Source organism: Homo sapiens, chromosome 21 (genome assembly GCF_000001405.40).
Source record: "Homo sapiens chromosome 21, GRCh38.p14 Primary Assembly".
In the NCBI taxonomy this organism is placed as follows: domain Eukaryota; kingdom Metazoa; phylum Chordata; class Mammalia; order Primates; family Hominidae; genus Homo; species Homo sapiens.
Genome location: NC_000021.9, coordinates 44,895,577 through 44,920,939, shown reverse-complemented (window position 1 = coordinate 44,920,939; position 25,363 = coordinate 44,895,577). Strand labels below are relative to the sequence as shown.

The following is a 25,363-nucleotide window of genomic DNA, read 5'->3' as shown; positions in this document are numbered from 1 at the left end:
TGTCAGGACTTTACGACCCGCGCCTCCAGCTGAGGTTTCTAGACGTGACCCAGGGCAGACTGGTAGCAAAGCCCCCACGCCCAGCCAGGAGCACCGCCGAGGACTCCAGCACACCGAGGGTGAGTGTGCAGAGGCCCCGCTATGTCCACGGTGATTTTTGGAGGGAAGCACTCTCCTGCCCCAGCCTGGAGTGACCCTGGTGGCCCTGCTTATAGCCCCGGCCCAGGGGTGTCTGGCAGGAAGGGGTCTCCAGACCGTCTGCTCCAGGGTCCCCTTTGAGACCCGGCAAGGGGAAGTGCCTGCCACCAAGAGCAGAGCCACATGGTGTGCTGGGAGCGCTTGCGGCTGAGGATGGGGCCGGCATGGGAGGACAAGGGGCTGTGAGGCCGGCAAGGCCAGGAAGAGGCTGGGCCCACAAGCCCCTAGGGGGACGGCTGGGGGGTCCTGGTGCTCCGGGCTGGGCAGGAGGCAGGTTCCCGGGGCCTCCTCTGTGAACCTGCTGCGCCTGCCTGTGTTAGGCCCTCCTGTCTGCATGCTGCCCCGCCTGGCTACAGCGATTCCATCTCCAGATCGACTCGCAGTGTGTGGTGTGTGATATGGTGTGGTGTGGTTCGTGGTGTGTAGTGTCGTGTGTGTAGTGTGGCATGGTGTGCATGTATGGTGCACGTGTGTGGCATAGCGTAGTGTGGTGTGTGTGTGTGCATGTATGGTGTGCGAGTGTGCGCATGTGATGTGGGGAGTCTGTTGTATGTACATGTATGGTGCACATGTGTAATGTAGTGTGGTGTGGTGTGGCACATGCTCCATGCTCCTCTGGGACCCTCGAGCTTCCCTGCCTCCTCCGTGGGGACCCCTGGGTGACGTCTTGCTGTAGGGGAGCGGGCACCGCTGTGCGATTCTGGTCGAGTTGGTTCAGCTGGTGACCCTGGCCTCCCCACAACAGGCTCCTGGAGGCCATTCCCAAGGTCCTGGTGGGAGGGGGATTGAAGCCACGCCCCTGGGTCCCAGGCCCACCTGGCCCCCTTCCCCCAACACTGCACTCTTGGGGCCAGCCCTCCCCATGCATCCTCCACCCCTGGCACCACCCCTTGCACCACCGTCCCCACACCCAATCCCCCCTCCCCTGGATCTGGGAGCTGGGATTCTGCCCTGCTGTCCCTGTCCATCCGGGGCCCCTCTCCTCTGTCAGTTCCTGGGTGGGGAGAAGGAGGGGTGGCATGGCTGCAATGGGGAAGGGGGGGGATGGCCGGAGAGCTCAGCCTGGGAGCGAGCTGTGGGGGCATAGGGGACACTCGCTGTCACTCGCCTTCCCCGTGACGGTGGCGCAACGCCTGCGGGTTTGGGGGCTGAGGCCGGATTCTGGAGGCTTCACAGAAATGAGCTGCTAGAAGCTCTGGGCTGTCTGCCGTCACCCCAGCGTTTCACCATGAGTGAAGCCCAGCTCACTGCAGAATCCATGCCCAGCTCACTGCAGAATCCCCGGGGGCCAGCACTTTACCAAGAGTGGCCTCCAGACTCCACATTTTAGGAAGGAACTCCTTCCCCATCCAGCTCACAGCAGAATCCCCAGGGTCCCTGCCAGCCTGGCACCCAGCGTGCCCCTCAGTATTCTGGGGATGAGTGGGGGAGTCCCTCTGCTGGGAAGAGGTCCCTGGCTACGTCCCTGCAGGGCGGCGGCTGAGCCCATGCCTCGGCCCCAGGGCCAGTCCCCGCCGGGTGCCATCCTGAGCAGGGCCACAGAACAGATGTCCCACATGGCCAGGACCCCTGTGGCCACCTGACCCCGGGGGGGCTGTGGCCCTCGGTGAAGCAGGTGACCGGGCGGGCTGTGGGGTTTGTCAGCTCCGCAGCGTCACTGCCGCTCAGCGTATGAGTTTCCACTCCCAGCACTCAATGAACAGCTGAGCAACTGCAGGTGCCTCCGAGTGCTGGGAGAGGGGAATGCTCAGCTCCGAGTGCTGGGAGAGGGGACGCTCAGCTCCGAGTGCTGGGAGAGGGGACGCTTAGCCACCCAAGGGCCTTTGCCTCAAGGGAGTAAATAGGGGCATTTCCTGGTGGGCGTGGGCTGGGCTGGAGAAGCAGGGCCTCCTGGCAGGGGCTGGCATGAGATCCAAACACTGCCCAGGCAGCTGGACACTCCTGAGCCTGGAGCTTCTCACCTGAACCACAGGGTGGTAACCCCTGCCCCTCAGGCGGCATCGACGTGACCTGCCTAGTGCACAGTGAGCCTGAGGCAACACGGCCACCACCAGGAGACTCCCTGGGGAAGAGGCCCCCAGACAGCGAGGTGCCCATGAAGGAAGTTCTGCACAGGGGCCGCGGCCATCCAGGAGATGGGAGGGGCCCTATCTGCACCCTGTCTGGAAGGGGCATGGGGTGAGCAGGCTATTTGGTCCCCCGTGACTCAGTTTCCCCATCTGTGAAACAGGAGGGGTGGTCTGGCCAATTGTGCGCACTCCAGCTGTCTCTATAGTCAACCGTGTAACTTGAACTCACTTCCCCAGGGCTCCTGCCAGGCCCAGGTCTGTCCACTCTGGCCCAGGCCGGGCCCCACCAGGTACCAGGGCTGTGGGACATTTGCCTCTGTGGATGGGGCAGCGTGACGCCTGTGGCGATTCCATGGAACAGGTCCTGTGTGGGCCCCCCTTGCTGCACTCGTGTCCTGTGTCAGAGAACCGTGGTCCTGCCTGAGGCCATGTCACCGGAGGCTGGCTCCCGTTCCCGGAGGAGAATGCCAGCTGCCACAGGGGTCAGTGACACAGGCATTTGCCCAGCAGGTACAGGCCAGGTCGCTGGGAAGCCCCAACTCAAGGGGCTCTGCAGTGGGCGCCTAGCAATTATGGAGCTGTGGGTGATACCCACCCCAAGCCGGACCTGGTGCCAGCAATTATCCCTCCCATTCTGCTTGGCACAAACTGGCACTGACACGGGGCATTGATTAGGTGGTTGCATTTGTCGATTCCGAGCCCATGTGTGTGGAGCCCAGGCCCTGAGCAAGCACAGAGGGCCCTGGTGCTGTCCTGAGCTGAGGCCCCTGCCCACCCCGGGCTGCGTGTTCTCTCCGGCCATTCAGGGTCTGAGAGTGCAGAAGAGTTAGCCCCAGGGGAACACCTTCCTGCCCAGCTGATTTGTAAACAGCCTCGCTGGGGACACATGTTGGTGTTGGGAGTGGTGGAGGTTTCTGTGTGTGATGGAAACTTGGGGTAGGTGTTGGGGAAAAGAGGTGCTGAGAGTCTCAGCAGAGGGCAGAGTCCAGGAGTCCTGGAGTGCAGCTCTCAGCCCCTGCGCCGTGCCTAGAGGAGAGGCTGGCAAGCCCCTGTCCCATGGATGGGTGAATGGGTGAGTGACAGTGGCAACAAGCCCATGCCAGCAGGGAGGTCCCACTGCCATGAAGCAGCGTCCTCATCAACGTCACAGTGGGAACAAGAAAGCCAGTAGCTTTGGAATCCGAAGGAGCAATTTCAGCATAATTCGTCGGCCACCATGAAATTCCATTTTTAAAATGTCCTTTATTCATTTATCACAAAAAGGGTGGAAAATACAAACAGGAATAATGAAAATTGAAAATACTCATAGTGCCACCACCCAGAGAAATGCAGAATATTTTGGAACTGTGTCTCTCTTTTTTTCCCCATAAATTCACTTTTACCACGAAGCCAAGCTGCCCTGAGCAGCTGTTTGCATGTTTTCGTTGCTGTGTGGGACTCCATAGCGCAGGCACCGAAACCGCCAAAGCATCTTACACGTTGACGGCTACACAGGGAATCAAGATATTTTGGCTGAAATCCCTGGTTCTTTCCTGGGGTGACTCATATGTTTCTTAGCCAGTTTTCTTCCTTCTTTTGTGAATTACCTGCTCAGGGTGCCACACCCTTGAAACATCCTTGAATGGAGTATTTACCTTTTTGTTATTAATTTCTAAGATCTCTTTAGAGATGAAGATTACCATTTACCTTTTGCACTAGAGAGATAATAGCTATTTCCTCTATGCAATTTGTTAGTACAACATGTGCCATTTTTAGAGTCTGTCTTCTTGCTATTTTCCCCCTTAGCTTTTTTTTTTTTTTTCTTTTGAGACAGTTTCACTCTTGTTGCCCAGGCTGGAGTGCAGAGGTGAGATCTCAGCTCACTGCACCCTCTGCCTCCCGGGCTCAAGTGATTCTCCTGCCTCAGCCTCGCGAGTAGCTGGGATTACAGGCGCCCGCCACCAAGCCCAGCTAATTTATGTATTTTTAGTAGAGATGGGGTTTCACTATGTTGCTCAGGCTGGTCTCAAACTCCTGACCTCAGGTGATCCGCCTGCCTCAGCCTCCCAAAGTGCTGGGATTACAGGCATGAGCCACCATGCCCGGCCTCCCCTTAGCTTTTATGCTGAGGTTTCCTTACTCTTAGATACCTATTCTTCTATTTCCTTTATTGTTTTATTCCCTAAAACTGAAGTCCTACACATTTGTGGCCATTCTTTTATGTCCACAGCAAGAGTGTCCGGGGCCTCGGCCTCACGTCGCCACCCAGGAACAGACAGTCTCCTTCATGTTAGATGGAGGAGTGGTGTCCCCTTGTCTAAAATGCTGTAAATATCATTTGATTTCCCTTTGACTTCAGGTATTTAGCAGAGTACTTTAGCATTCCTTATTAATATGTGTGTGTCGGGGGGGTGGGGTGTCTCATTTTATTTCATTTGGCCAGAAATTGTGGCCTTTAAAATTTGTGCTATCAGGCCGGGCGCAGTGGCTCACGCCTGTAATCCCAGCACTTTGGGAGGCCGAGGCAGGCGGATCACGAGGTCAGGAGTTCGAGACCAGCCTGGCCAATATGGTGAAACTCCATCTCTACTAAAAATACAAAAATTAGCTGGGCCTAGTGGTGTGCACCTATAGTCCCAGCTACTCAGGAGGCTGAGGCAGAAGAATTTCTTGAACATGGGAGGCGGAGGTTGCAGTGAGCCGAGATCTAGCCATTGCACTCCAGCCTGGATGACAGAGTGAGACTCCATCTCAAAAAAACAAACAAACAAACAAAACTGTGCTATCAAACTTCACAGATAGTCAAACCAACAGTAGGAACACGTCTCCCTGACCCTTGGGAAAATACGCTTTTGCAGGGTCGCAGGTTCAGAGGCGACATGGGCTGGGTTTTCCTGCATCCTCTCTGCTCCGACTTGTTCCTATTTGATCTGACCTGTTTTTGTCCCTGGATTTCCTGGAGCCTCTGTGATCCAAGGACAGTGTTCCAGTCCCCACCTGACGGCACTTCTCTCCAGTTCTTTATCACATTCCTACAAAGCAGAAATGAGTCCATCTTGATGCTCTGGCTTTTGGCTTAAAAGGTGGATGCCTAGTTTATAATCATCCCTTGAGCCTTCAGTTCCCAGCGCAGGGGTTGGCTCCCATGTCCTCTTCCTTCCAACCTTGTCCCCTGGCGGCATCGTCCATCACTTCCCGCGCACCTCCGAGTCACTTTGATGCGAGTGCCTCTCCTCTAGGACAGCGCAAGGTGGGTTTCAGCACAGGCAGGAGGAAGCTCTGATGCAAAGTTCCAATGGGTCTGCGGGGCCTCTGGTTCCTCAAGCAGTCTCGTCTTAGGGTTTTACGGGGTTGCAAAAAGGAAGCCTGAGACTGGGCACGGTGGCTCACGCCTGTAATCCCAGCACTTTGGGAGGCCGAGGTGGGCGGATCATGAGGTCAGGAGATCGAGACCATCCTGATCAACACGATGAAACCTCGTCTCTACTAAAAACACAAAAAAATTAGCTGGGCGTGGTCGTGGGAGCCTGTAGTCCCAGCTACTCAGGAAGCTGAGGCAGGAGAATGGCATGAACCTGGGAGGCGGAGCTTGCAGTGAGCTGAGATCGCGCCACTGCACTCCAGGCCGGTGACAGCGCAACTCCGTCTCAAAAAAATAAAAAGGAAGCCTGACCCCGCTGGATTCCTCTCCCAGCATAGGCTCTGCCCTCTCTCTGCTGTCTTGCTTAAAGTTTCCTTTCTTTTTCTTTTCTTTTTTTTTTGAGACAGGGCCTCGTTCTGTCAACTAGGCTGGAGTTCAGCAGTGCCATTAGGGTTCACTGCAGTCTCTCCCTCCTGGGCGCGAGTGATCCTCCTGCCTCAGCCTCCTGAGTAACTGGGACTAGAGATGCATGCCACCATGTCTGGCTAATTTATTTTCTATTTTTATTTTTTGTAGAGGTAGGAGTCTCACTGTGTTGCCCAGGCTGCTCTCAAACTCCTGGCCTCAAGTGATTCTCCTGCCTTGGCCTCTCAAAACACTGGGATTGCAGGCGTCAGCCACCAGGCTGGCCTCTTCCTTTCCTGTGTTTGCTCCTGTTCTCCTGTCCTCGACTTCTGTGAAAGGGTGTGTGTGATTTGGCCCGGATCTGCTGCAGGTCTCTTCTGACGCCGCTTTCGTGTCTCAGAGCCTGAATGTTCAGAGCTTTGCTCACCGTGAAGTGTGGTTCTTGTTAGCTGTGTCCATTTGGTGCCCGGGAGGGAAGGGCGCCCGGCCCCTGAGGGGTTCTCCGGGGAAGGATGACCTCGTCCCCCTGGTCCTGCCCCCTCAGCCCCCTGCTTCCCCTGTGCAGGGGACTTGGTGACAGGTACCACTTCCTGCAGCTGGGCTGGGGTTGCACCAGCACTTCCTTCTCGGGCAGGGTTGAGGTCAAGGGCGACTCTGATGCAAGGTTCTGAGAGGCCTGTGGGGCTGTGGATTCCTAAGCAGCCTCAGCTTTGGGTTTTGCACCTTAGGTCTTGGTAAGGGGACCCGCCCGCCCTTAGATGGGGGATGTCCAGAGCTGGAGGATGAGGAGGGCACCCGCCCCTGGTGTGGGGCAGCAGGGAGGGCCTTGGAGAATGAGGAGGGCACCTGCCCCCAGTGTGGGGCAGCAGGGAGGGCCTCAGGGTGATCAGGCTCCAGGCCAGAGCTCTGGGGCCAGCTCAGGGGCTGGGGTGGGGGGTGTCTGTGCTCTTCCTCCCCTCCTGCCCTGCAGCTCTGCCGGCTTAGCCTCAGGGCACCAGAGGTGACAGTGGCCAGGCACCTGTTTGCCCGAATGCTGCCCTACATCTGTGCCTTACCCATTCCCATCCCCCAGGGAGCTGGCACAGGCCCTTCGACCACCTCCAGGCACATGGAGGAAACTGAGGCAGATAGGCCTGATGGGGTCTTGGTCTCTCAGGCCTCAGGTGAGGCCCTGGACCTCCGTGGGCCATCCTGGCTGCTGGGCAGAGGGGCTGCCCTGCCCTGTTCTCCCACAGAAGGGAGGCTGGCTGCCAGGCTCAGTGCACTGCCTTACCTCCTGGAGCGGACCTTCATCCCCAGCTGTTTGTCTGGGCTCAGCCACTGGCATTGGGGGGTGGGGCAGGGCCTGGCTTCTCTTGTGCCCCCAGCTCCAAGCCCCCCAGGGCTGCTCATGGAGGAGCAACAGTGGGGAGAAGGTGGCTCCCCACCAGCCCCCTTCCTGTGGTCAAGGTTGGGGTGCCGTGGTCTCTGAGCCAATCCTGCTGGAATCAAGGTGCACCCCCTCTCCCTGTGGGCAGGTGGGAGTGCCCGGGGTAACTGGGCACCAGGTCCATATCTTGCTGCTGCTGGGGCCCTCAGTTTCCCCATTTGAGGGTATGAAGTGTTTGCATGCCACTGGTCACGACTGTGTTAGGGGCGGAGACCTCATGTCTGCGGCCCCAGGGAGAGCGTGGAGCTGGGGTGTGAGTCCTTACCAGCCTGGCTGGGGCTGCCAGGGGAGGTCTGCACCCCCTCCCCACTTGGCGCAGCTGCGACCTGGGGGAGTCCTGAAGCCGGCTGGACCCTGCACCCTGGGGGAGTCCTGAAGCCGGCTGGACCCTGCACCCTGGGGGAGTCCTGAAGCCGGCTGGACCCTGCACCCTGGGGGAGTCCTGAAGCCGGCTGGACCCTGCACCCTGGGGGAGTCCTGAAGCCGGCTGGACCCTGCACCCTGGGGGAGTCCTGAAGCCGGCTGGACCCTGCACCCTGGGGGAGTCCTGAAGCCGGCTGGACCCTGCACCCTGGGGGAGTCCTGAAGCCGGCTGGACCCTGCACCCTGGGGGAGTCCTGAAGCCGGCTGGACCCTGCACCCTGGGGGAGTCCTGAAGCCGGCTGGACCCTGCACCCTGGGGGAGTCCTGAAGCTGGCTGGACCCTGCACCCTGGGGTAGCTCCAGCACGCACAGGGCCTCCGATCAGCTGAGGGGCTGGTGGGCACTCGTGGCACCGAGGTCAGTCCAGGCGCAGGACTTTGAGGGGGCCCAGATGGAGAGCTGGAACTGGCCTCGGCCTGAACCACAACCCCCAACGATCAGAGATATGGGGGCTTTCAGACACAGGGTGGGCCCAATGTGAACCAAAACCACCTCCTCCAGGAAGTTACAGCAGGGTGCAGGTTCTGTTTTTGACCCCAGGACGGGAAGGATCAAGGGTTCCCTTTTGACATTTTTGTATTCTGATTATAATTTTGCTGGGAACCAGGGAATGAGGTCACTGCCAAAACAACAGGACCTTGGGGCTTGTTGGGGCGTCTAAGCTGTGGGATCCTCAGATGGGCCCCTGGTGGGTGTTCCGTTGGCCTCAGAGCCCCCAGCACAGGTGCAGGGCTTTCGGGGGATGGAGGGGAGCCAGGGCCTGTGGCTGAGGGCACCCGAGCCTCCCGGGCCACAGCACAGCACCCAGCGCTGTCTTCAAAGCCGGCAGGCCCTAGTTTGGGGCTCTGCTGGCTTGGGTCTGCCCACTGAACCTTGGGTGGCCCTGCCAGCACCACCCGAGGGAAGGGTGTGGGGCAGGAACGCCCCAGCAGCCTGGGAGGCCGTGACAGGAACTGGCATTTGCTGGAGGAGGTGTGTTGATCTTTGCTTCTGACAACAGCCCCAGGGTAACGGAAATGTCTTCCTGCCCACCATGACAGGAAGGCTCCTGGGTACCCCTTCTCAGTACCTCTCCACCTTCTTGGTGCCAGATAAAAGGGTCCCAGCCAGCTATAATGTTCTCAGGTCCTGGGAGGTCAGACCCAGGGGCCCACCCCACCTAGGAAGCCCTAAGACCCCCCAAGGAGCCGACCTAGGCCTGGTTTGGGCACCTCCCGGATGGAGGGAAGGGAACCCAGGGGTGGAACGGCCCTGCTGCCCGCTAGGAGGTGCTGCCGGCCTCCAGCACCAGGCTGAGGCCTGCTTCCGTCATTTTGCCTCTGGGGCCGAGGGCCTGTGAGTGACCACTGAGCCGCCCCTGGCTGTGGATGCGTGGGTTAAGGACGGGGTGGGTGTGTATCTGGAAACAAAAGGGCAGGACCCCGGCAACTGGTGGCTTGGGCAAGTCAGGTGACTTTTTTTCCCACCTGGCAGGGACTGCAGGGCTCCTGGGCAGGCCTAGCACACAGCTTGGCACCCGCGGGCATCAAGCCAGCTTTCTCTTCCTGGCACACAGCCTGGCACCCGCGGGCATCCAGCCAGCTTTCTCTTCCTGGCTATGTTTCTGCCACAGAGAGACAGGGCCAAGCCCAGCTCTCCTCCAAGCACAGGCTCTGCTCACGGAGGACCTGGGGCACACTGGGGCAGAGTGCACACACCGGGTGTGTGGGGTTCTGGTGTTTGTGTGCGTGTACATTTGCACGTGTGTATGGTGTGTGCGTGTGGTGTGTGTGTCTGTGTGGTGTGTATGTGTGTGTACGTGTGCATGTGTATATTTGTGTGTGGTGTGTAGTGTCTTGCGGGGAGTATGGTGTGGGTAAGGGGTGTATACATCTCTGTGTGTACATATGTGTGGTGTGATGCATGTATATGTGTGGTGTGTGCATGCACGTGGTGTGTACATGCAGTCAGGCACACATCTGTATGCACGTACACGTGCATGTGTGGTGTGTGTACACGTCTGCATGTGTGTGTGTGCCTGTGTTGTGTGCCTCTGCAGGGGCCCGCTGCAGCTGTCCTGGGTGCCTGGCTGAGCAGGTGTGCTGCCCGCACTGCTGAGCCCGGGATCCCTCCCTCCCTGGCTGTTGGCAGCTGGGCCCAGTGCAGCTGTGCTGGCCTGACCCTAACCCACCCCCTGCAGCAGGGACAGGGCCCCAGCTCCTTGTCCCAGGCCAGCTGGAGGGGAGCTTCATGGGTGGTCAGCCCCAGGGGTTGGGCCTGAGACCGTCACCAAGACCCCTTCCCTCCACAGGACATGCTGGGCCTGCGCCCCCCACTGCTCGCCCTGGTGGGGCTGCTCTCCCTCGGGTGCGGTGAGTTCTGTGTTCCACGGAGGGGACTCCACGCGTGACATTCCAATCAGGGAGAACAGGGCCTGCCCTCACTTTCCCATAGACAGAAGTTCCCGGGAGGCTGGGGAAGGACCTTGCCACTGGGGGTAGGTCGGGGACTCAGGCCTCGTCTCCGCACGTGCCAGGAGGCTGTAGCTGTGCTGTTTCCCGAGGGCCCCTCTTTGCACCTGGGGGTGGTGGCGAATGCGGGGTCTCCTCCTGGAGGCTGCCTCCCTGTCTTTTTGGGCCTCCTCTGACCTTCCTGCTCTACTCCCCCTTGGGTGTGGGCAGGGCGGCCCAGAGCACCCACTCACCAGCCGGCCTCGTCCCTCAGTCCTCTCTCAGGAGTGCACGAAGTTCAAGGTCAGCAGCTGCCGGGAATGCATCGAGTCGGGGCCCGGCTGCACCTGGTGCCAGAAGCTGGTAAGTGCCTCCTGGACCCCTCCCCACCTGCCCAGCTCCTGGGTGAGGGCCCTTTCCTGCCCCTGAAGCCAGTGGCACCCAGAGGACCAACAACTCCATTTTCTTTTTGAGGGGGTCCCCAGACCCTGGCCTCACCCTCCCCTCAAGGGGCCCCTGAGGTTCTGATGTGTGGTCTGTTTGGAAACACACACAGAACACACACTTGTATTTTTTCTCAGCCATTTCCGAGTAGGTTGTAGACATGGAGCCCTTTGTCTCTTAGTACTTCAAGGGAGGTCTTTCTTAAGAACAAGGTTTTCACTTACAAAACTACGTAAGCAAGTGCAGAAACACGCGCGCTTCTGGCCCCGCATCGCCAGCACGCTTTCCTGCAGAGTCAGCAGGTTTGGGGCCAGTGACGGGACCCACCAAACACAGCCCTTATCAGAATCCAGGGGCTTTGCAGGGACAAGGTGGCCAAGAGGAAATGTACTTTGATGTAAATGTATTTTGATACATGTATATCTATATTTGATAAATTCATGTATCAAATTCAGGAAATTCAGCATTGGTATCTCATTATCATCAAACCTACACACTACGCATATTTTATTGGTTGTCCCAATGATGTCTTCGTGAGCATATTTTCCTGGTGGATTTTGTCACCCAGGCTCACCCTGTGCTCAGCTGTCTCAGGCTCAGAATCTCCTCACTCAGGCTCACCCTGCACTCAGCCATCTCAGGCCCCAAATCTCCTAACCCAGGTTCACACACTGCGCTCAGCCGTCTAACGCTCTGAATCTCCTCACCCAGGCTCGCCCTACGCTCAGCCGTCTCCTTGGGCTTCTTGAATCTGGACAAGTCCTCAGCTTTCTTTGTCTTTCCTGTCCTTGGGCGTTTCTGAGGAAGTCAGGAGAGCAGCTTTGTAGCATGACCCTCGGGGGTCTTGTCTGGAGTTTCCTCTGCCTGGACTCAGGTGTGCTTTGGCAGGAGCCCCTCAGTGACGGTGTCCTAAGTGCCCATGAGAGGCACTGCTGTGGCCCCGTCCCAGTCTTGATGAGGTCAGCGTGGACGGCTCTGCTGAGACGGCATCCCCCCGGCCTCCCCATCCCGCTGCATGATCCCCTCGCAGCCACTGTGGGCTGGTGAGGTTCTGCCCTCATCAAATCGCACCCGCAGGCTCAGCATCCGCGGAGGTCCCCGCCTGAAGCCGCCATCACTGCGATGGCTGCAGATTGGTGCCGTGCTGGTCCCCGCCTGCCACTCACGGCTGCCAACCTAAGGAAGGGTCTCTCCTTCTCTGCAGCCTCTCTCTCATCAGCGTGACCCACAGTTTTATTTTGTTCAGTAGTGCATGATCTGTGGCTGTCCTTTCTTCCCCGAGTTGCTCAAATCCGCTGGGTCTGGCTGCGTGTCCTGTCCATGCATCCCCGTTCTACCGTTCTGAGCACTTTCTTGCTTTCTGGAGCAACATGATGCTGCAGGCCCATCTCCATGTCCCTTGCCCCAGCCTGGAATCAGATGGTTTTCTGACGGCTCGGGTTCCTTTCCCTGAGAGTCTGGGCTCCAGCACCGTTGTAGCCGGACAAGCCGCAGACAGAATTCCTCAGACACTCGGTTAAAGAAGGAAGGGCTTTATTTGGCCAGGAGTGTCAGCAGACTTGCGTCTTAAGAGCCGAGCTCCCCGAAAAAGAAATTCCTAGCCCTTTTAAGGGCTTACAACTCTAAGGGGTCCACATGAAAGGGTTGTGATAGATAGAGCAAGTGTGGGGAACTTGACTGGGGGTTACATGCATCAGCTGACAGAACAGAAAGTTTTGCAATGCTTTTTCATACAATGTCTGGAATTTACAGATAACACCAGTAGTTTTGGTCAGGGGTTAATAATAATAATAATAATAATATTATTAGTTTAACCACCAGGGCCGGGTGGTGGCGCCAAGGTCATCTGGCTATTTATCTTACTTCTGTTTCTTTCCAACTTTTTGCTTTCTCTCTTTTCTCCTGTCTTATAAACTAGAGAAGGGGAGGGGGTGGAGAAGAAGGGGAGGGCAGCAGGAGAAGTGGTGTCTCATTCCTTACCGTCAGCAGCTTCCTCATTTCTCAATTTTGCGTCCCACAGGGAGCGGCTTTGGGTCCTCCAGCCCACGCCACCGCGGCGAGCAGTCCCCGGAGGAGAAGCCGGGTGGCTCCCGTCTGTCCTCGGACTGAGCAGGGTGGCCAGGCCCCAGGTGGAAACTACCTTGGTCAGGCTGGGTTTTTTCCCTCCCCTTTCTGGAGGTTTTCAGCTCCTCTGAAATAAACACCTTTCAGTGAGATTTGTTTGTTTCTGTGTGGATTACATTTAGGCTTTCTTTTCTCTCTTGCTGGGATACTTGCTGATGTACTTTTATTTCTGGAGGACTTCTTTAAAAAATTCTGTGGTTCCAAAAGTCAGAGCCCTACAAAGAGGCACCCTGGGGACTGTCGCCCTCCCCTCCCACCTGCCCCCCTGCCTGCGGGACTCACCAGCCTCTGGGGGCCGGGCTTATCCTCCTGAGCTTCCCTCTACGAAAGCAAGTGCACAAACACGCGCTTCTGGCCCCGCATCACCAGCACCCTTCCCTGTAGAGGCAGCAGGCTCGGGGCCAGTGACGGGACCCACCAAACACAGCCCTCATCAGAATCCAGGGGATTTGCAGGGACAAAGTGGCTGAGAGGAAAGCGCCCTGGGCCCAGGCCTCCCAGGCTCCCCTCCAGCTTTTGTTCTTCTAAACTTTGAGGGGCTTGGCCCAGAACCCTGCCCATGTTCTGGGTTTCTTGGGGGCCTAGGGACTGCCACGTTCCTTTGGGACACAGCAACTCCCTTGGACAAAGGTTCTGCTGATGAAGGGCTTGAAGCCCCTGGGCCAGCTGCTAGAGGACGCTGAGGCCTCTCCTCTTGGGTCAGCCTCGGGCTGGAGAGTAGGTCCTGAGTCCTTTCTGCCGCTAGAGGCAGAGGAGGAGGCGATACCCTGCCCCCCAGGGGTCTGCTGTGGCCGGGAGCCTTCAGGGAGGGGCTGTCTGGGAGGCTGAAGGAGCTCCCTGTCTCTGTCCACAGGGACTTCTGTCCCAAATTCCAGGCGCAGAGGAGGAGGGGACAGGGTGGGTCCTCAGTCCTCCATGGCCAGTCAGCCTCCTGCAGGTCCCGCAGTGTGGCCCCCTCCTGACCCCTGACTCCCCCTCCCCAGAACTTCACAGGGCCGGGGGATCCTGACTCCATTCGCTGCGACACCCGGCCACAGCTGCTCATGAGGGGCTGTGCGGCTGACGACATCATGGACCCCACAAGCCTCGCTGAAACCCAGGAAGACCACAATGGGGGCCAGAAGCAGCTGTCCCCACAAAAAGTGACGCTTTACCTGCGACCAGGTAGGCTTGGCCTCGGTGGTGGTGCCAGGCACCGTCTGTGCTGGTTATTGGCTCTGGCTGGGAGTCCGGCCCTGCTCTGGGGTGTCAGGGCTGCCCAGAAGGCATGTGTCCGGGTCGGACGGGTGTGTGGGCCAGTGAAGCCCCAAGGCTGCTGGAAAGCTGAGCTCCTCAGTGCCCTTCCGCTCTGTCCCCAGGTGGAGCTGCCCCAGCCCTTACCATCGGTGCCCAGTGTCTGCACTCTCTCGCAGCCCGACGTTCTGCACCTTTTTTTTTTAAAGGGAGACCAAACCATTTGCAAAACACTATTCCATTACACACTCAGAAGGCCAGGGTACTCTTAGAAGAGTAAAGGCTCTGATCAGTCTTGCAGCCAAGAGACCTAAGTAACTGTTTAAACCAGTGTTGCCCAAACTGACTTGACCAGAGCACCTGTTTCGACTTGACCAGAGCACCTGTTTCAGAACACAGTCCCCTGTCAGTGCTTTGAGAAACGCCCTCCTTATCGGTGGCTCACGCCTGTAATCCCAGCACTTTGGGAGGCCGAGGCGGGTGGATCACTTGAGGTCGGGGGTTCGAGACCAGCCTGGCCAACATTCTCCTGCTGCGGCAGGAGAATCACTTGAACCTGGGAGGCAGAGGTTGCAGTGAGCCAAGATTGTGCCACTGCACTTTAGCCTGGGCGACAGGGCGAGATTCTGTCTCAAAATGAAAAGAAAGGAAGGGAAGAGAAGGGGAGGGAAGGGAGGGAGGGAAGGGAGGGAAGGGAGGGAAGGGGAAGGGAGGGAAGAAACGAAGCTCCCTCCTTGCTCCAGGAAGGCAGGTGTGGTGGTGCAGCAGATGGGAGAAGGAGGCCTGGTGTGGCCACCGACCTGTGACCTCCCAGGCCACAGTGAGGCCAGGGAAGGAAGGGGAAGCCATCTCCCAGGGAGAGGGTGCAGACGGGGCCAGGGTGACTTTAGAGGAACCAGCTGGTGTCGGACAGGCTGGGGCTCAGAGCTCTGCCCTCAGGGGAAGCCCAGGTCAGCGGCCACTGAGTTAGCCTTGGGGCAGAGTGGCCCAGGGTGCAGGCGGCCAGGTGACAGCCAGCAGCAGCCGGGAGGGAGGCAGCTGGGAGACAGTGAGGGATGGGGCCGAGCCATTGGGGAGGTCCTGCAGGAGCAGGGCCCAGGTGTCCCTGGGGGCAGCAGGGGACAAAACCCCACCCTGGTGGTAGGGTCAGGCCTGCCCCTCGCTGCCCCGTGAGCAGGCACAAGCCCCTTCGTGCTGGAACCTCCACCTCTGACCTCAAACTCGAGGGCCTGGCCCTGTGGCCCCTGGAGGCAGCTCTGATGTATTTTCCCCACGCCCCACTTCACAGTGAGGAAACTGAGGCTGACAGAGGTGTTGCCTGTGGCCAGAGTTTGTGCAGCTCTGTGGTGCTGGAGGTGTCAGGAAGGATCGTCCTGGAGGGTGGGGGTGCGCCTGAGTGGGGGCATCCTTGTGCCGTGGGGAAGGGTGGGGGAGTGGCTGCCCACGGCCTGGCATGCATCCCCACTGTGCAGGGGGCAAATGCTGTGGCCTCTGGGAGGGCACAGGTGAGCTCGGGTGGATGCAGGTGAGGGTAGGCAAACTCGGGTGAGCACCAGGGAGAGATCTTAACAGCACCCCAGGGCCACAGGCTCCCAGAGCAGGGCGGCAGGATCTGGGAAGGGACTGTCCTCTCGCGGGGTCCTGGCCCTACCCCCGCAGCCTGCTGGCCCTTCGCTGAGCCTCTACTCTGGAAGGGAAGGGACGGGGCCCCTTGGTCAGCCACCAAAGGCCTATGTCTGTGCCCTTTGACTGCAGCATGGCCACATTGCTCGTGGGGACATGGTCTTGGCTGCCTCCTCCATGTCGCTGCAGACGCCGCACGGCCCCCAAAGCCAAACACATTTACTGTCTGGCCCTTCATAGAAAGTGATTGGGGTCCTTGGCCCAGAGGCCAAGTGAAGCCTCTGAGGGCTGCAAGGCACAGCAGGGCGAGGGCCAGGGCCAGGAGTGCCGGGTGTGAATGTGGGTGAGTGTGTGTGTGTGTGAGCGCATGTGTGTGTGGTGTGTGTGTATGCATGGTGTGTGTGGTATGTATGTGTTTAGCATTGTGTGGGGTGTGTGTATATGTGTGGCACGTGTGTGTATGGGTGTGAATGCATGTGTGTGGCATGTGTATATGTGTGTGGCATGCATGTGTATGTGAGTGCATGTGTGTGGTGTATGTGCGTGAGTGCATGTGTGTGTGTTTGGTGTGTGTATGTGTGTGCGAGTGTGTGTGCGTGCATGTGGTGTGTTTGTGTATATGAACAAGTACATATAGTATGTGTGCTTTGTGTCTGGTGTTGTGTATGAGTGTGAGGTGTGTGTGTATGCGTGCATGTGTGGTGGTTGGTGTTTGTGGTGTGTGTGCATATTTGTGGTGTGTTTGCTGTGTGTGGGTGCCATGTGCGTGTATATGTGGGTGCGTGTGTGCTACGTGTGACTGTGTGTGCATGAGTTATATTTGTGTGTGAGTATTGTGTGTGTGCATATATGTGGGTGTGTATGCCATGTGTGACTGTGTGTGCATGTGGTGTATTTATGTGTAGGAGTGCGTGTGTGTGTGTCTGTGAGGAGGGGCACATACCCTTTCTCCCAGGGTGTGGCAGCAGGCAGGTTGGGGGTGGAGTGGGCTCTGCACTTGTCCTGCCGCCCAGGGGGGCTGAAGGCTGGAGGGTGGGGCAGAGGGGACAGGCTTCGTCACCCTCCCTCCCTGCTCATTCATTAACATGATGTGTGTTTATGGAGAGCTGACTTGTACCAGGCACGGTTCTGGGAGCCAGGGACACAGGCTGGTTGCGGTGACAGGTAAACAGACAGCTACACAACCGCACGTGTGACTGAGACGCGGGCGAGCGGAAGTCCAGGGCTGGGATGGAGAAAGGGGCCTCCTGGGGACGGCCCGCGTGGGCCTTGCTGGGAAGTGCCAGGTTCGTGTGATGCCTGTCTATGTGGCTGCTGATGAGGGCGCCCGTGGGACTGCAGGCATGGGGCCGGGTTAGGTGTGAGCCCAGGTGAGCCGCTGCCACTCTCAATGAAAGGCGTCCCCAATGTCGCTGGCGTCAACTCTAAGCACCCCAGGCGGGTTTCAGTGTCACTGCGAGGCACATGCCTGCGTCCGGGAGTCATGTCCTTCCTCTGAAACTCCAGCCTGCCTGGATGTCCTGTGTCTGGTCCTCAGCTCTCCTGCCAGGCGGGGAGAGGGGAGGTCAGGAGGATTTGGGGGCTGGAGGAGAGGGTGCCAGTGCACAGCCCGCTCGGGGCCACACGCCCCCAGACACCCTGTGTGAGATGTGAGGTGTGGCTCCTTTTGTTCTGTCCCCACCGGCAGGCCAGGCAGCAGCGTTCAACGTGACCTTCCGGCGGGCCAAGGGCTACCCCATCGACCTGTACTATCTGATGGACCTCTCCTACTCCATGCTTGATGACCTCAGGAATGTCAAGAAGCTAGGTGGCGACCTGCTCCGGGCCCTCAACGAGATCACCGAGTCCGGCCGCATTGGTGAGGCCCAGGCACTGCAGGACAAAACCCAGTCCTTTCCCAGACCCTGGCCACTCCTGCCTGTGGCCCACACAACTCCTCGCACTCAGGTCCCCAGGGTAGATCTGGGGGCCCCAGATGCAGGTCCCCCCAGGGCATCCACAGGGCTGCAGTCGGCCTGCCTCCCTGCCAGGGGCCACACCCAGTCCCTGGCTCCCCAACACTTGTAGACATTGTCCAGCCCTCCACTTCCCCTTCCATCTTCTACTTCCTTTATTTATTTCTTGGTATGTTTAAAAGACAAAATTCTGACAGTGCCAATTATTAAACATTAAAGACCACAACACATATAGACGGCACAGCGACGGCAGCACTGAAGAAACCACACAGCAAGCTCTGCTGGGCCAAGGGCTCCGCTCTACACCAGCACTGCCTTGCCACAGAGCAGGTCTCCAGCACACGTGTGTGTCAGTCACAGCGCATGTCTTCCCCGCCGGCCGTGGCTTCTCACATCGGCACTCTGCCACCTTCCCTACATGCGGGGATGCACACATGCACGATAACACACACACACACAAGCAAATGCATGCTCACACAAATGCACGCTCACACACAAATGCACGCTCATGCACGTGAATGCACGCTCACACACAAATGCATGTTCACACATGCAATGCACACTCACACACAAATGCATGCTCAAACGCAAATGCACGCTCACACATGCGAATGCACACTCACACATGAATGTATCCTCACATGCACAAATGGATGCTCACACACGCGAATGCATGCTCACACACAAAAGCACACCCAAACTCAAATGCACACACACGTGAATGCATGCTCACACACGTGAATGTATGCTCACACACATGCTCAAACACACAAATGCATGCTCTCACATGTGAATGTATGCTCACACATGAATGTATGCTCACACGCAAATGCATGCTCACACACGCGAATGTATGCTCACATGCACAAATGCACGCTCACACACGTGAATGCACGCTCACACACAAATGCATGCTCACACACATGAATGCATGCTCACACTTGCATGTGCACACACATGCACACACAGTCATACACACGTGCAAGACCACATGTGCACACAGACATGCTCACATGCACACTCATGATCACCCATGTATGTCTTCACTCACATGTATAAATCGTACATAAACACACATGCCCACATATGTACCTGGTCACCTACGTGAACTAGGTGTGTCCATACCTGAACATGCTCACATGCATACAGGAATACGTGCACACACAGTTGTGCTACGCATGTACACACTCATGTTTACACATGCAGATGGCTGCACACACAGATACACATACGCACCTGTTCACATGCCCACATGTATACCTGGTCACACACATACATGCAGGAACACACATGCATACACTTATGCTCATCCATGTACATTGCACACTCCCAGGTTCACACACACGCCCACATACGTTCACATGTGTGCTTGCACAACGCACATGCTCACACACACACTCCACATGTGCCATCTTGCTTTCTCCACCTCCCTGCTAGGAGAGAGGAAACAGGCTTGCCCTCGTGCCCCTTTGAAGCTGGCCCTCCCACCTGGGCCCAGCCTGCCACCTCCCCAGCCCCTCCATGTGCCCTGCAGGCTTCGGGTCCTTCGTGGACAAGACCGTGCTGCCGTTCGTGAACACGCACCCTGATAAGCTGCGAAACCCATGCCCCAACAAGGAGAAAGAGTGCCAGCCCCCGTTTGCCTTCAGGCACGTGCTGAAGCTGACCAACAACTCCAACCAGTTTCAGACCGAGGTCGGGAAGCAGCTGATTTCCGGAAACCTGGATGCACCCGAGGGTGGGCTGGACGCCATGATGCAGGTCGCCGCCTGCCCGGTGAGGCCGCTGCCCCTGCTTGGGTCCCCACGTTCCCCCAGTGTGGGGGGCTCTGTCAGGCGCTGTGTGGGGGCAGGGGGGTACCCTGGCCGGCAGGTCGTCTGAGGGACTCCAGCCTGGGCCTGGGGAGAGCAGCTCCTCACCCTGCTGCTGCCCATGCAGGAAAGGGCAGGAGGAAGGGAGGGTGACCACGAGGGCTCGAAAATCATGCGCTGATTTCATTGTTTGCTGTGAGTTAAATTTGTGACCCTGGGCAAACCTTATGAAGCCTAAACATTTTGCGAGCGGCCAAGGGTGGAACAGGGCCGCTAGGCAGCAGGTCCCGTGGTTCCTGGGGTGGAACCACCCTCCTCCCTCCAGGCCGGGTGGGCGCTGGCTGCCCAGTGTGTGTCGCTCTCCACGTCCCGCCCACCCAGTTTGTGACTGTCAGCCTAACAGAGCAGCCACAGTCCCTGGGCCATGTTGAGGCCACATGCACTGTCCTCCCCTCACAACCCACCTTAGCTCTCCTGCTTCCCTGCAGTCCCAGCGCAGACACACTGCTCACGAGTGTGAGGTCACAGCCTAGGACACGCACGGCCCCCACATGCGCCTGCCAGGGGCTGTCAATGGTGGACTCAAGGCCTGCTGGGCCCCTCAGGCTCGTTTTCCTCCATGTTGCACTCGTTCTGCGTGTGGCCCACACGTCTGCGAGGGTTTTTCCCCTTGGGGATGGTTTCCTGAGGGTTTGTTCCCAGCTCTGAAGTGCAGGGACCGCAGCCGTGTCTCTCTCCTTGCCTTTCCACACGTGCCTCCACTCCCTGCGCCTCACATGTGCACGGGGTGTTTGAGGGCCGTTGTCTCCTCCTGGGCGTGGCGTCTGGGGGAACACAGCTGGGTCCCTGAGACCCAGGGGAAAGGGGGACCCACACCAGCCTCCGGGCCACCCCACCAGCTCTGCATCGTCTCCTCTGCTCCAGAGGGCCGGGTCTGGGAAACTGAGGCAGGTAACCCTGCCCCCCACGCCTTCTTCTCAGGAGGAAATCGGCTGGCGCAACGTCACGCGGCTGCTGGTGTTTGCCACTGATGACGGCTTCCATTTCGCGGGCGACGGGAAGCTGGGCGCCATCCTGACCCCCAACGACGGCCGCTGTCACCTGGAGGACAACTTGTACAAGAGGAGCAACGAATTCGTAAGTCCCCACCCCAGGCACCCAGGCACCGCCTGGCAGGACACCACTGACGGAGGAGACAAGGGTGGGGTCTCCACCTGACAGAGCCTCCTTCTGACCCAAGGAGCAGATTCCTGAGGAAACTTCTGGAAGCCCCAAGTGGCAGCGTGGGGTCTCCCCGGACTGGCCTCAGGCCAGGGGAGGGTAGGGTTGGTGGGGGCAGCCAGGCTGAGGCCCGGCCTCGCCCTTGTGGGACACCCAGGCTCTGTTGGTCTCCAGCCCCACTGCCCCCCTACCTGGGCTGACAGCTGCTGTGGAGGTATAGTAACCGCCCCCAGGCTACGGCTGCACCCTGCCGTCCCCGCCTCTGGCCAGGGTCCCATCCCCAAGCATCCGCCTCCTCCCCCTCCCGGCCTCCACTGTACGTTCCCTGCTGCCCCTGAGTCCGCCTCCTCCAGTGTGGCCCCTCCCTGCCCCCATTGCCTGAGCTGGGTGAGCGGCTGCGGGGACCATGAGGAACATGCAGGGAGGGACAGAGGCGAGAAGGAGCCCAGGATGCACGGGTTAGGATGAGCCTCTCTGCGGAGGCATCTCAATGGCTCAGAGGGGCCAGGACTTCTGGCTGGGATCAGCCGTGGGCCGAGAGGCAACCACTGGTCACAAGGGGCTTGTCCTCGCTGGCCGTAGTGCGACGCTCTTGCAGCCTGACGTTGTAGGCTCTGGGGGCCGCAAAGGACTTTAGAGATACAAGACTCAGGTCCTCCGCCGGGAGCCACAGACGGGAGGGACGGCCCTCGGGTCCCGGAACTCGGGTAGGGAGAGCCGCACCTGACACTCATGGCCTCTACCGAAACTGAGTGTCCCTCAGTGCGAAAGCAGGTCCACCGTGTGGGGAAGGCTGGGATTCTGCCCCCGTGGACATCCCCAGTCCCACGGTGAGACGCCTCAAATGCTGCTCATGCCTGGACTCTGAAAGCCCGAGTCTATGCACACATTGCCCAGAGGGCGTGGCAGCTCTCTGCCCTGCACTCCTGCGTGGCAGCCTCTGCCTCTCCAGCCTTCCCCAGAGAGGGTTCGAAGCACGGGCAGGGCTGACGCTGAGCGGGGCAGACAGGGGCGGGTACCTGGAAGCCTTGTCCTGGACTCGGGGCCAACTGAGCAGGACCTCCTCTCTCCAGGACTACCCATCGGTGGGCCAGCTGGCGCACAAGCTGGCTGAAAACAACATCCAGCCCATCTTCGCGGTGACCAGTAGGATGGTGAAGACCTACGAGGTGAGTGCTGTTGGGTCCCGAGCATCCATTGGGTGGGGGCATGTTTCAGCCACAGGCCAGACCCAGCGCCACTGCAGGTCTGAGCGCCACCTCTGCATGCTGGGCACGTGAGCAACCAGCCGGCCCAGGTCCTGGATCCCCCTAGGTGAGGAGCCCGAGGCTTCCCGTCGGGGACAGGACGCCTGCGTGTCGATAGGAGGAGGAATTCCTCCCCGTCCCTGAAACTCAGCTGTGTTAACAGCATGTCTTGGCATTGGTGATATTTCTGTTTTTTCCTGGAATACAACACAATTCTTTATTTTATGGAAACACACTTATTTTATGCTCACATACATTTGAACATCAACACTCTCCGTGAAGATAAAATTACACAAAAACGTTCACAAGCTTGGAGTGCGGAGTGGGATGAATTTCACGAAGGAAGCACAGCTGATAACCAGCCTCTGCTCCTAGAAAAAGAGGCCCCCAGTGAAACACGTTCATCCTGCATTTCCGCTGCTAGTGCCATGTGTTCAGCCTGAGCAGGTCAGTGCGTCAAGACGCTCAGGTGCTGTTGGGGTTCCCAAGACCTTTCTCAGGATCAGTGATTTGCCGGAAGGACTTGCAGAGCTCAGGAACCAGTAAACTCACAGTTACAGTTTATTGCAGAGCCGACCCTCCTGGGTGCCAGCCGCTGCCCGAGGTGGGAGGATACAGACAAAAGTCAGCAAAGGTCAAAGGTGCACAGGAGAGAAACCAGGCACCAGCTCCCAGTGTCCCCTCCCTGCAGGGGTGTGGGCGGCGCTCCATCCTCCCAGCGATGATGTGTGGCCTCATGCACAGAACATGGTCCCCAAGGAGGCTCTTGAGCCTCGGTGTCTACTGGGGGTCAGTCACAGCGGCGCGGCTGACACCCCATGGCTGACCTCAGTCTCTAGCCCTCCAGAGGTCAAGCTGAAAACTGTCCAGGGCCCCACCCCAAATCACACTGTGGGACTATCCGGTGTGACCTGAGGCCCCAGGAACAATGACACCCCCATCGGGTAGGATGTACCAAGGGCTCAGAGGCTACCTCTCAGGAGCTCAGCCGGGGTCTACCACTCTTTGGCATGTGTGGGGTGTGGCCAGCCAGGCCTGCTGGGTGGAGCCCTGACTGTGTAACAGGGATTCGCTAGAAGGAAGGAAACACTGCACGCCCTCCTGAAAGGAGCCTCCGCCCATAGCAGCCTGCACAGTGTGTGGCCCTGAGGCCACAGGGACAGAAGGACTGAGCTGGAGGAAGGAGGTGGTTGTCATTGTACTTTACACAGCCACGTGCCCCGTTCTTCAGGGTGGAGCTGGAGGAACGAGATAGTTGTCATTGTACTTTACACAGCCACGTGCCCCGTTCTTCAGGGTGGACAGGGCCCTGGGTGGCTCACCTCACACCCAGCTCTGTTACTTACCACAGGACGCCCCAGGCCCTTCCTTACCCCGAGCCCTCAGTTTCCTCATCTGTGAAAGGGGTAGTGGTGCCCGGCGGGCAGTGCGTCGTGGGTACTGAGCTCACCCACTCAGGGAATTCACAGAGCAGCCGCCCTAAAGGGCCCGATTATCCTCATCCGGACAGTGACCGACCTGCTGGCCATTCCAGGGCCATCACCGCCATCTTCTTCAAAATGGCACGCAGGAAACCAGGGCCCCCTCTTCCCCCTGCCTGGGGCTCTGCCCAGCTGGGCAGCCTCACAGCCCCTGCCCTGCTGCTTAGGCTGAGGAGACATACTCGGGGTTTGGGGAAGGAAAGTGCCCGGGAGGGCCGCTGCTTTTGTAAAGTGAACATTTGCTGAACTACAGGGATCCATTGTCAGGCCCGTATCCCAGCTACAAGCTCAACCTCGTGGTGTGTTGGGGCCGACAGCGAGACCAGCGGTTCCTGCCATAGGTTCCCCGGGCTCTGGAGTGGGAGCAGGACCCTGCGGGAGACACGGGATGGGGGCAGGTGTCTGGGGGACCCTCCGAGTGGGCACCCAGAGCTGGTCAGGCTGCCGGGACAGTGGGTCAGCGCAGGGCAGGGCTGGGGCCGGACATCCACAGAGACCACCTGCTGGTCAGGATGTCACAGCCCTGTGTCCCATCTGTAGGTGGCCATGACGGTCCCCTCCTCACCAGCAGTAGCAGGTCCCAATCCTTTGCCATTTGTCATGGCAGCCAGACTCCAGGCGATGGTGTGGCACCAGGGCCAGGCACTGGAGGCAGGTAGAGTGCACCCCATGCCTACTGCTGAGCCTTGGGGCACACAAGCCTTCCTCAGCCTTTCCTGGTCACCTTCGGGGGTGGTCAAGGCAACAGGCAGCGAGTGTGGACACACGTGCCACGCCCCCTCCGAGTGTGTTTCTGCACCAAGCGCACAGCAGGCTCAGCAGGACAGGATGTGGGAGGGCCCAGCTCTCCCAAGACAGGGATGGCCCCAGACTGGGACGGATGGAAGTGGGCGGTGGGCGGAGGGCGCAGAGGAGGGTGGTGGCCAGGCTGTGACCGGCCCCAGGAGCTCCATGGAAGGGACTGGGCCCATGCAGGGCAGTCATGGGAGGGTTTGGGCGGGGAGGTGACCCGACCATCTGCTCCGTGTTCCTGGAAGGTGAAATGATGCCGCAATCTTCCATGAAAGAAGCTGAGCATGTGTGAGCATGGGGGAGGCTGGCTGCGCCCCTGTGCATCTGGCCGGCCAGAACCGATGTCACCGGGCTGTTTAACACCCATGGAAACTCAGTAGAGTGCCAAGAGCCGATGGCTTCCTGGTGATTTTACTGTGATCCACCCTCGTGGGGCTACTTCCGCCTACCATCTGTGTGGTGGTAGGAATTCCCTACCTGTGTGGTGGAAATTCTGGCCAACACTGGCCACCATGCACGTCCTCCCAACCCAGTGATATTGCGAGCTTGAAATCCACCAGGCAGGATCACTCACACCACAGGCAGGAGTACTCACACCACAGGCGGGAGCAGTCACACCGCAGGCAGGATCACTCACACTGCAGGCGGGATCACTCACACCGCAGGCGGGAGCACTCACACCGCAGGCGGGATCACTCACACCGCAGGCAGGAGGACTCACACGGGCAGGCCTGGACAATGCTGCAGCTCAGGGCTTTGCTTTCTTTTCTTATCCTCATGATGCAACAGTAATTTTTTTTTTATTTTTTATTTATTTTATTTTATTTTATTTATTTTTTTATTTCATTTCATTTCATTTCATTTCATTTCATTTTATTTTATTGAGACAGAGTTTTGCTCTTGTTGCCCAGGCTGGAGTGCCATGGTGTGATCTCAGCTCATTGCGACCTCCGCCTCCTGGGTTCTCCTGCCTCAGTCTCCTGAGTAGCTGGGCTTACAGGTGCCCACCACCACGCCCAGCTAATTTTTGTATTTTTAGTAGAGACGGGGTTTCACCATGTTGGCCAGGCTGGTCTCAAACTCCTGACCTCAGTGATCCACCCACTTTGGCCTCCCAAAGTGCTGGGATCACAGGCGTG

At 58.5% G+C, this 25,363-nt stretch overlaps 1 protein-coding gene and 1 long non-coding RNA gene across 6 annotated transcripts in view, besides 9 other annotated features; both read left to right on the top strand.

Moving 5' to 3' along the window:
- ITGB2 (integrin subunit beta 2) overlaps positions 1-25,363 on the top strand; it is a 42,863-nt gene that overhangs the window by 7,876 nt on the left and 9,624 nt on the right. The window contains exons 1-8 of one of the 5 annotated variants that reach the window (NM_000211.5): positions 41-119; positions 10,155-10,215; positions 10,568-10,656; positions 13,845-14,025; positions 17,405-17,575; positions 19,207-19,448; positions 20,465-20,620; positions 21,778-21,873. In NM_000211.5, the coding sequence (NP_000202.3) occupies positions 10,158-10,215; positions 10,568-10,656; positions 13,845-14,025; positions 17,405-17,575; positions 19,207-19,448; positions 20,465-20,620; positions 21,778-21,873 (993 nt within the window). In that variant the 5' untranslated portion in view covers positions 41-119; positions 10,155-10,157. Of the gene's footprint in view, positions 1-40; positions 120-10,154; positions 10,341-10,524; positions 10,657-13,844; positions 14,026-17,404; positions 17,576-19,206; positions 19,449-20,464; positions 20,621-21,777; positions 21,874-25,363 lie in introns of those variants that run through there. The other 4 variants (NM_001303238.2, NM_001127491.3, XM_006724001.3 and 1 more) reach the window with 4 other exon arrangements.
- Positions 1,391-1,450: a silencer, noted in NCBI's record as "silent region_13395". NCBI's record gives its function as "represses an Ori minimal core promoter by ATAC-STARR-seq in GM12878 lymphoblastoid cells {active_cell/tissue: GM12878}" and the evidence as "EXISTENCE:reporter gene assay evidence [ECO:0000049][PMID:35858748]".
- Positions 2,534-3,446: an enhancer, noted in NCBI's record as "H3K4me1 hESC enhancer chr21:46337409-46338321 (GRCh37/hg19 assembly coordinates)". NCBI's record gives its function as "activates a minimal SCP1, AML or CMV promoter by ChIP-STARR-seq in primed H9 embryonic stem cells {active_cell/tissue: H9 hESC(primed)}" and the evidence as "EXISTENCE:reporter gene assay evidence [ECO:0000049][PMID:30033119]".
- Positions 6,533-6,582: a silencer, noted in NCBI's record as "silent region_13394". NCBI's record gives its function as "represses an Ori minimal core promoter by ATAC-STARR-seq in GM12878 lymphoblastoid cells {active_cell/tissue: GM12878}" and the evidence as "EXISTENCE:reporter gene assay evidence [ECO:0000049][PMID:35858748]".
- Positions 6,699-7,199: an enhancer, noted in NCBI's record as "H3K4me1 hESC enhancer chr21:46333656-46334156 (GRCh37/hg19 assembly coordinates)". NCBI's record gives its function as "activates a minimal SCP1, AML or CMV promoter by ChIP-STARR-seq in primed H9 embryonic stem cells {active_cell/tissue: H9 hESC(primed)}" and the evidence as "EXISTENCE:reporter gene assay evidence [ECO:0000049][PMID:30033119]".
- Positions 8,519-8,568: an enhancer, noted in NCBI's record as "active region_18580". NCBI's record gives its function as "activates an Ori minimal core promoter by ATAC-STARR-seq in GM12878 lymphoblastoid cells {active_cell/tissue: GM12878}" and the evidence as "EXISTENCE:reporter gene assay evidence [ECO:0000049][PMID:35858748]".
- On the top strand, positions 10,666-12,953 carry LOC107987303 (uncharacterized). Its single transcript, XR_001755083.2, has 2 exons — positions 10,666-11,611; positions 12,758-12,953. It is a non-coding gene; the product is annotated as an uncharacterized LOC107987303 (long non-coding RNA).
- Positions 11,281-11,780: an enhancer, noted in NCBI's record as "H3K4me1 hESC enhancer chr21:46329075-46329574 (GRCh37/hg19 assembly coordinates)". NCBI's record gives its function as "activates a minimal SCP1, AML or CMV promoter by ChIP-STARR-seq in naive H9 embryonic stem cells {active_cell/tissue: H9 hESC(naive)}" and the evidence as "EXISTENCE:reporter gene assay evidence [ECO:0000049][PMID:30033119]".
- Positions 13,467-14,031: an enhancer, noted in NCBI's record as "H3K27ac-H3K4me1 hESC enhancer chr21:46326824-46327388 (GRCh37/hg19 assembly coordinates)". NCBI's record gives its function as "activates a minimal SCP1, AML or CMV promoter by ChIP-STARR-seq in naive H9 embryonic stem cells {active_cell/tissue: H9 hESC(naive)}" and the evidence as "EXISTENCE:reporter gene assay evidence [ECO:0000049][PMID:30033119]".
- Positions 14,032-14,597: an enhancer, noted in NCBI's record as "H3K27ac-H3K4me1 hESC enhancer chr21:46326258-46326823 (GRCh37/hg19 assembly coordinates)". NCBI's record gives its function as "activates a minimal SCP1, AML or CMV promoter by ChIP-STARR-seq in primed H9 embryonic stem cells {active_cell/tissue: H9 hESC(primed)}" and the evidence as "EXISTENCE:reporter gene assay evidence [ECO:0000049][PMID:30033119]".
- Positions 22,907-23,522: an enhancer, noted in NCBI's record as "H3K4me1 hESC enhancer chr21:46317333-46317948 (GRCh37/hg19 assembly coordinates)". NCBI's record gives its function as "activates a minimal SCP1, AML or CMV promoter by ChIP-STARR-seq in primed H9 embryonic stem cells {active_cell/tissue: H9 hESC(primed)}" and the evidence as "EXISTENCE:reporter gene assay evidence [ECO:0000049][PMID:30033119]".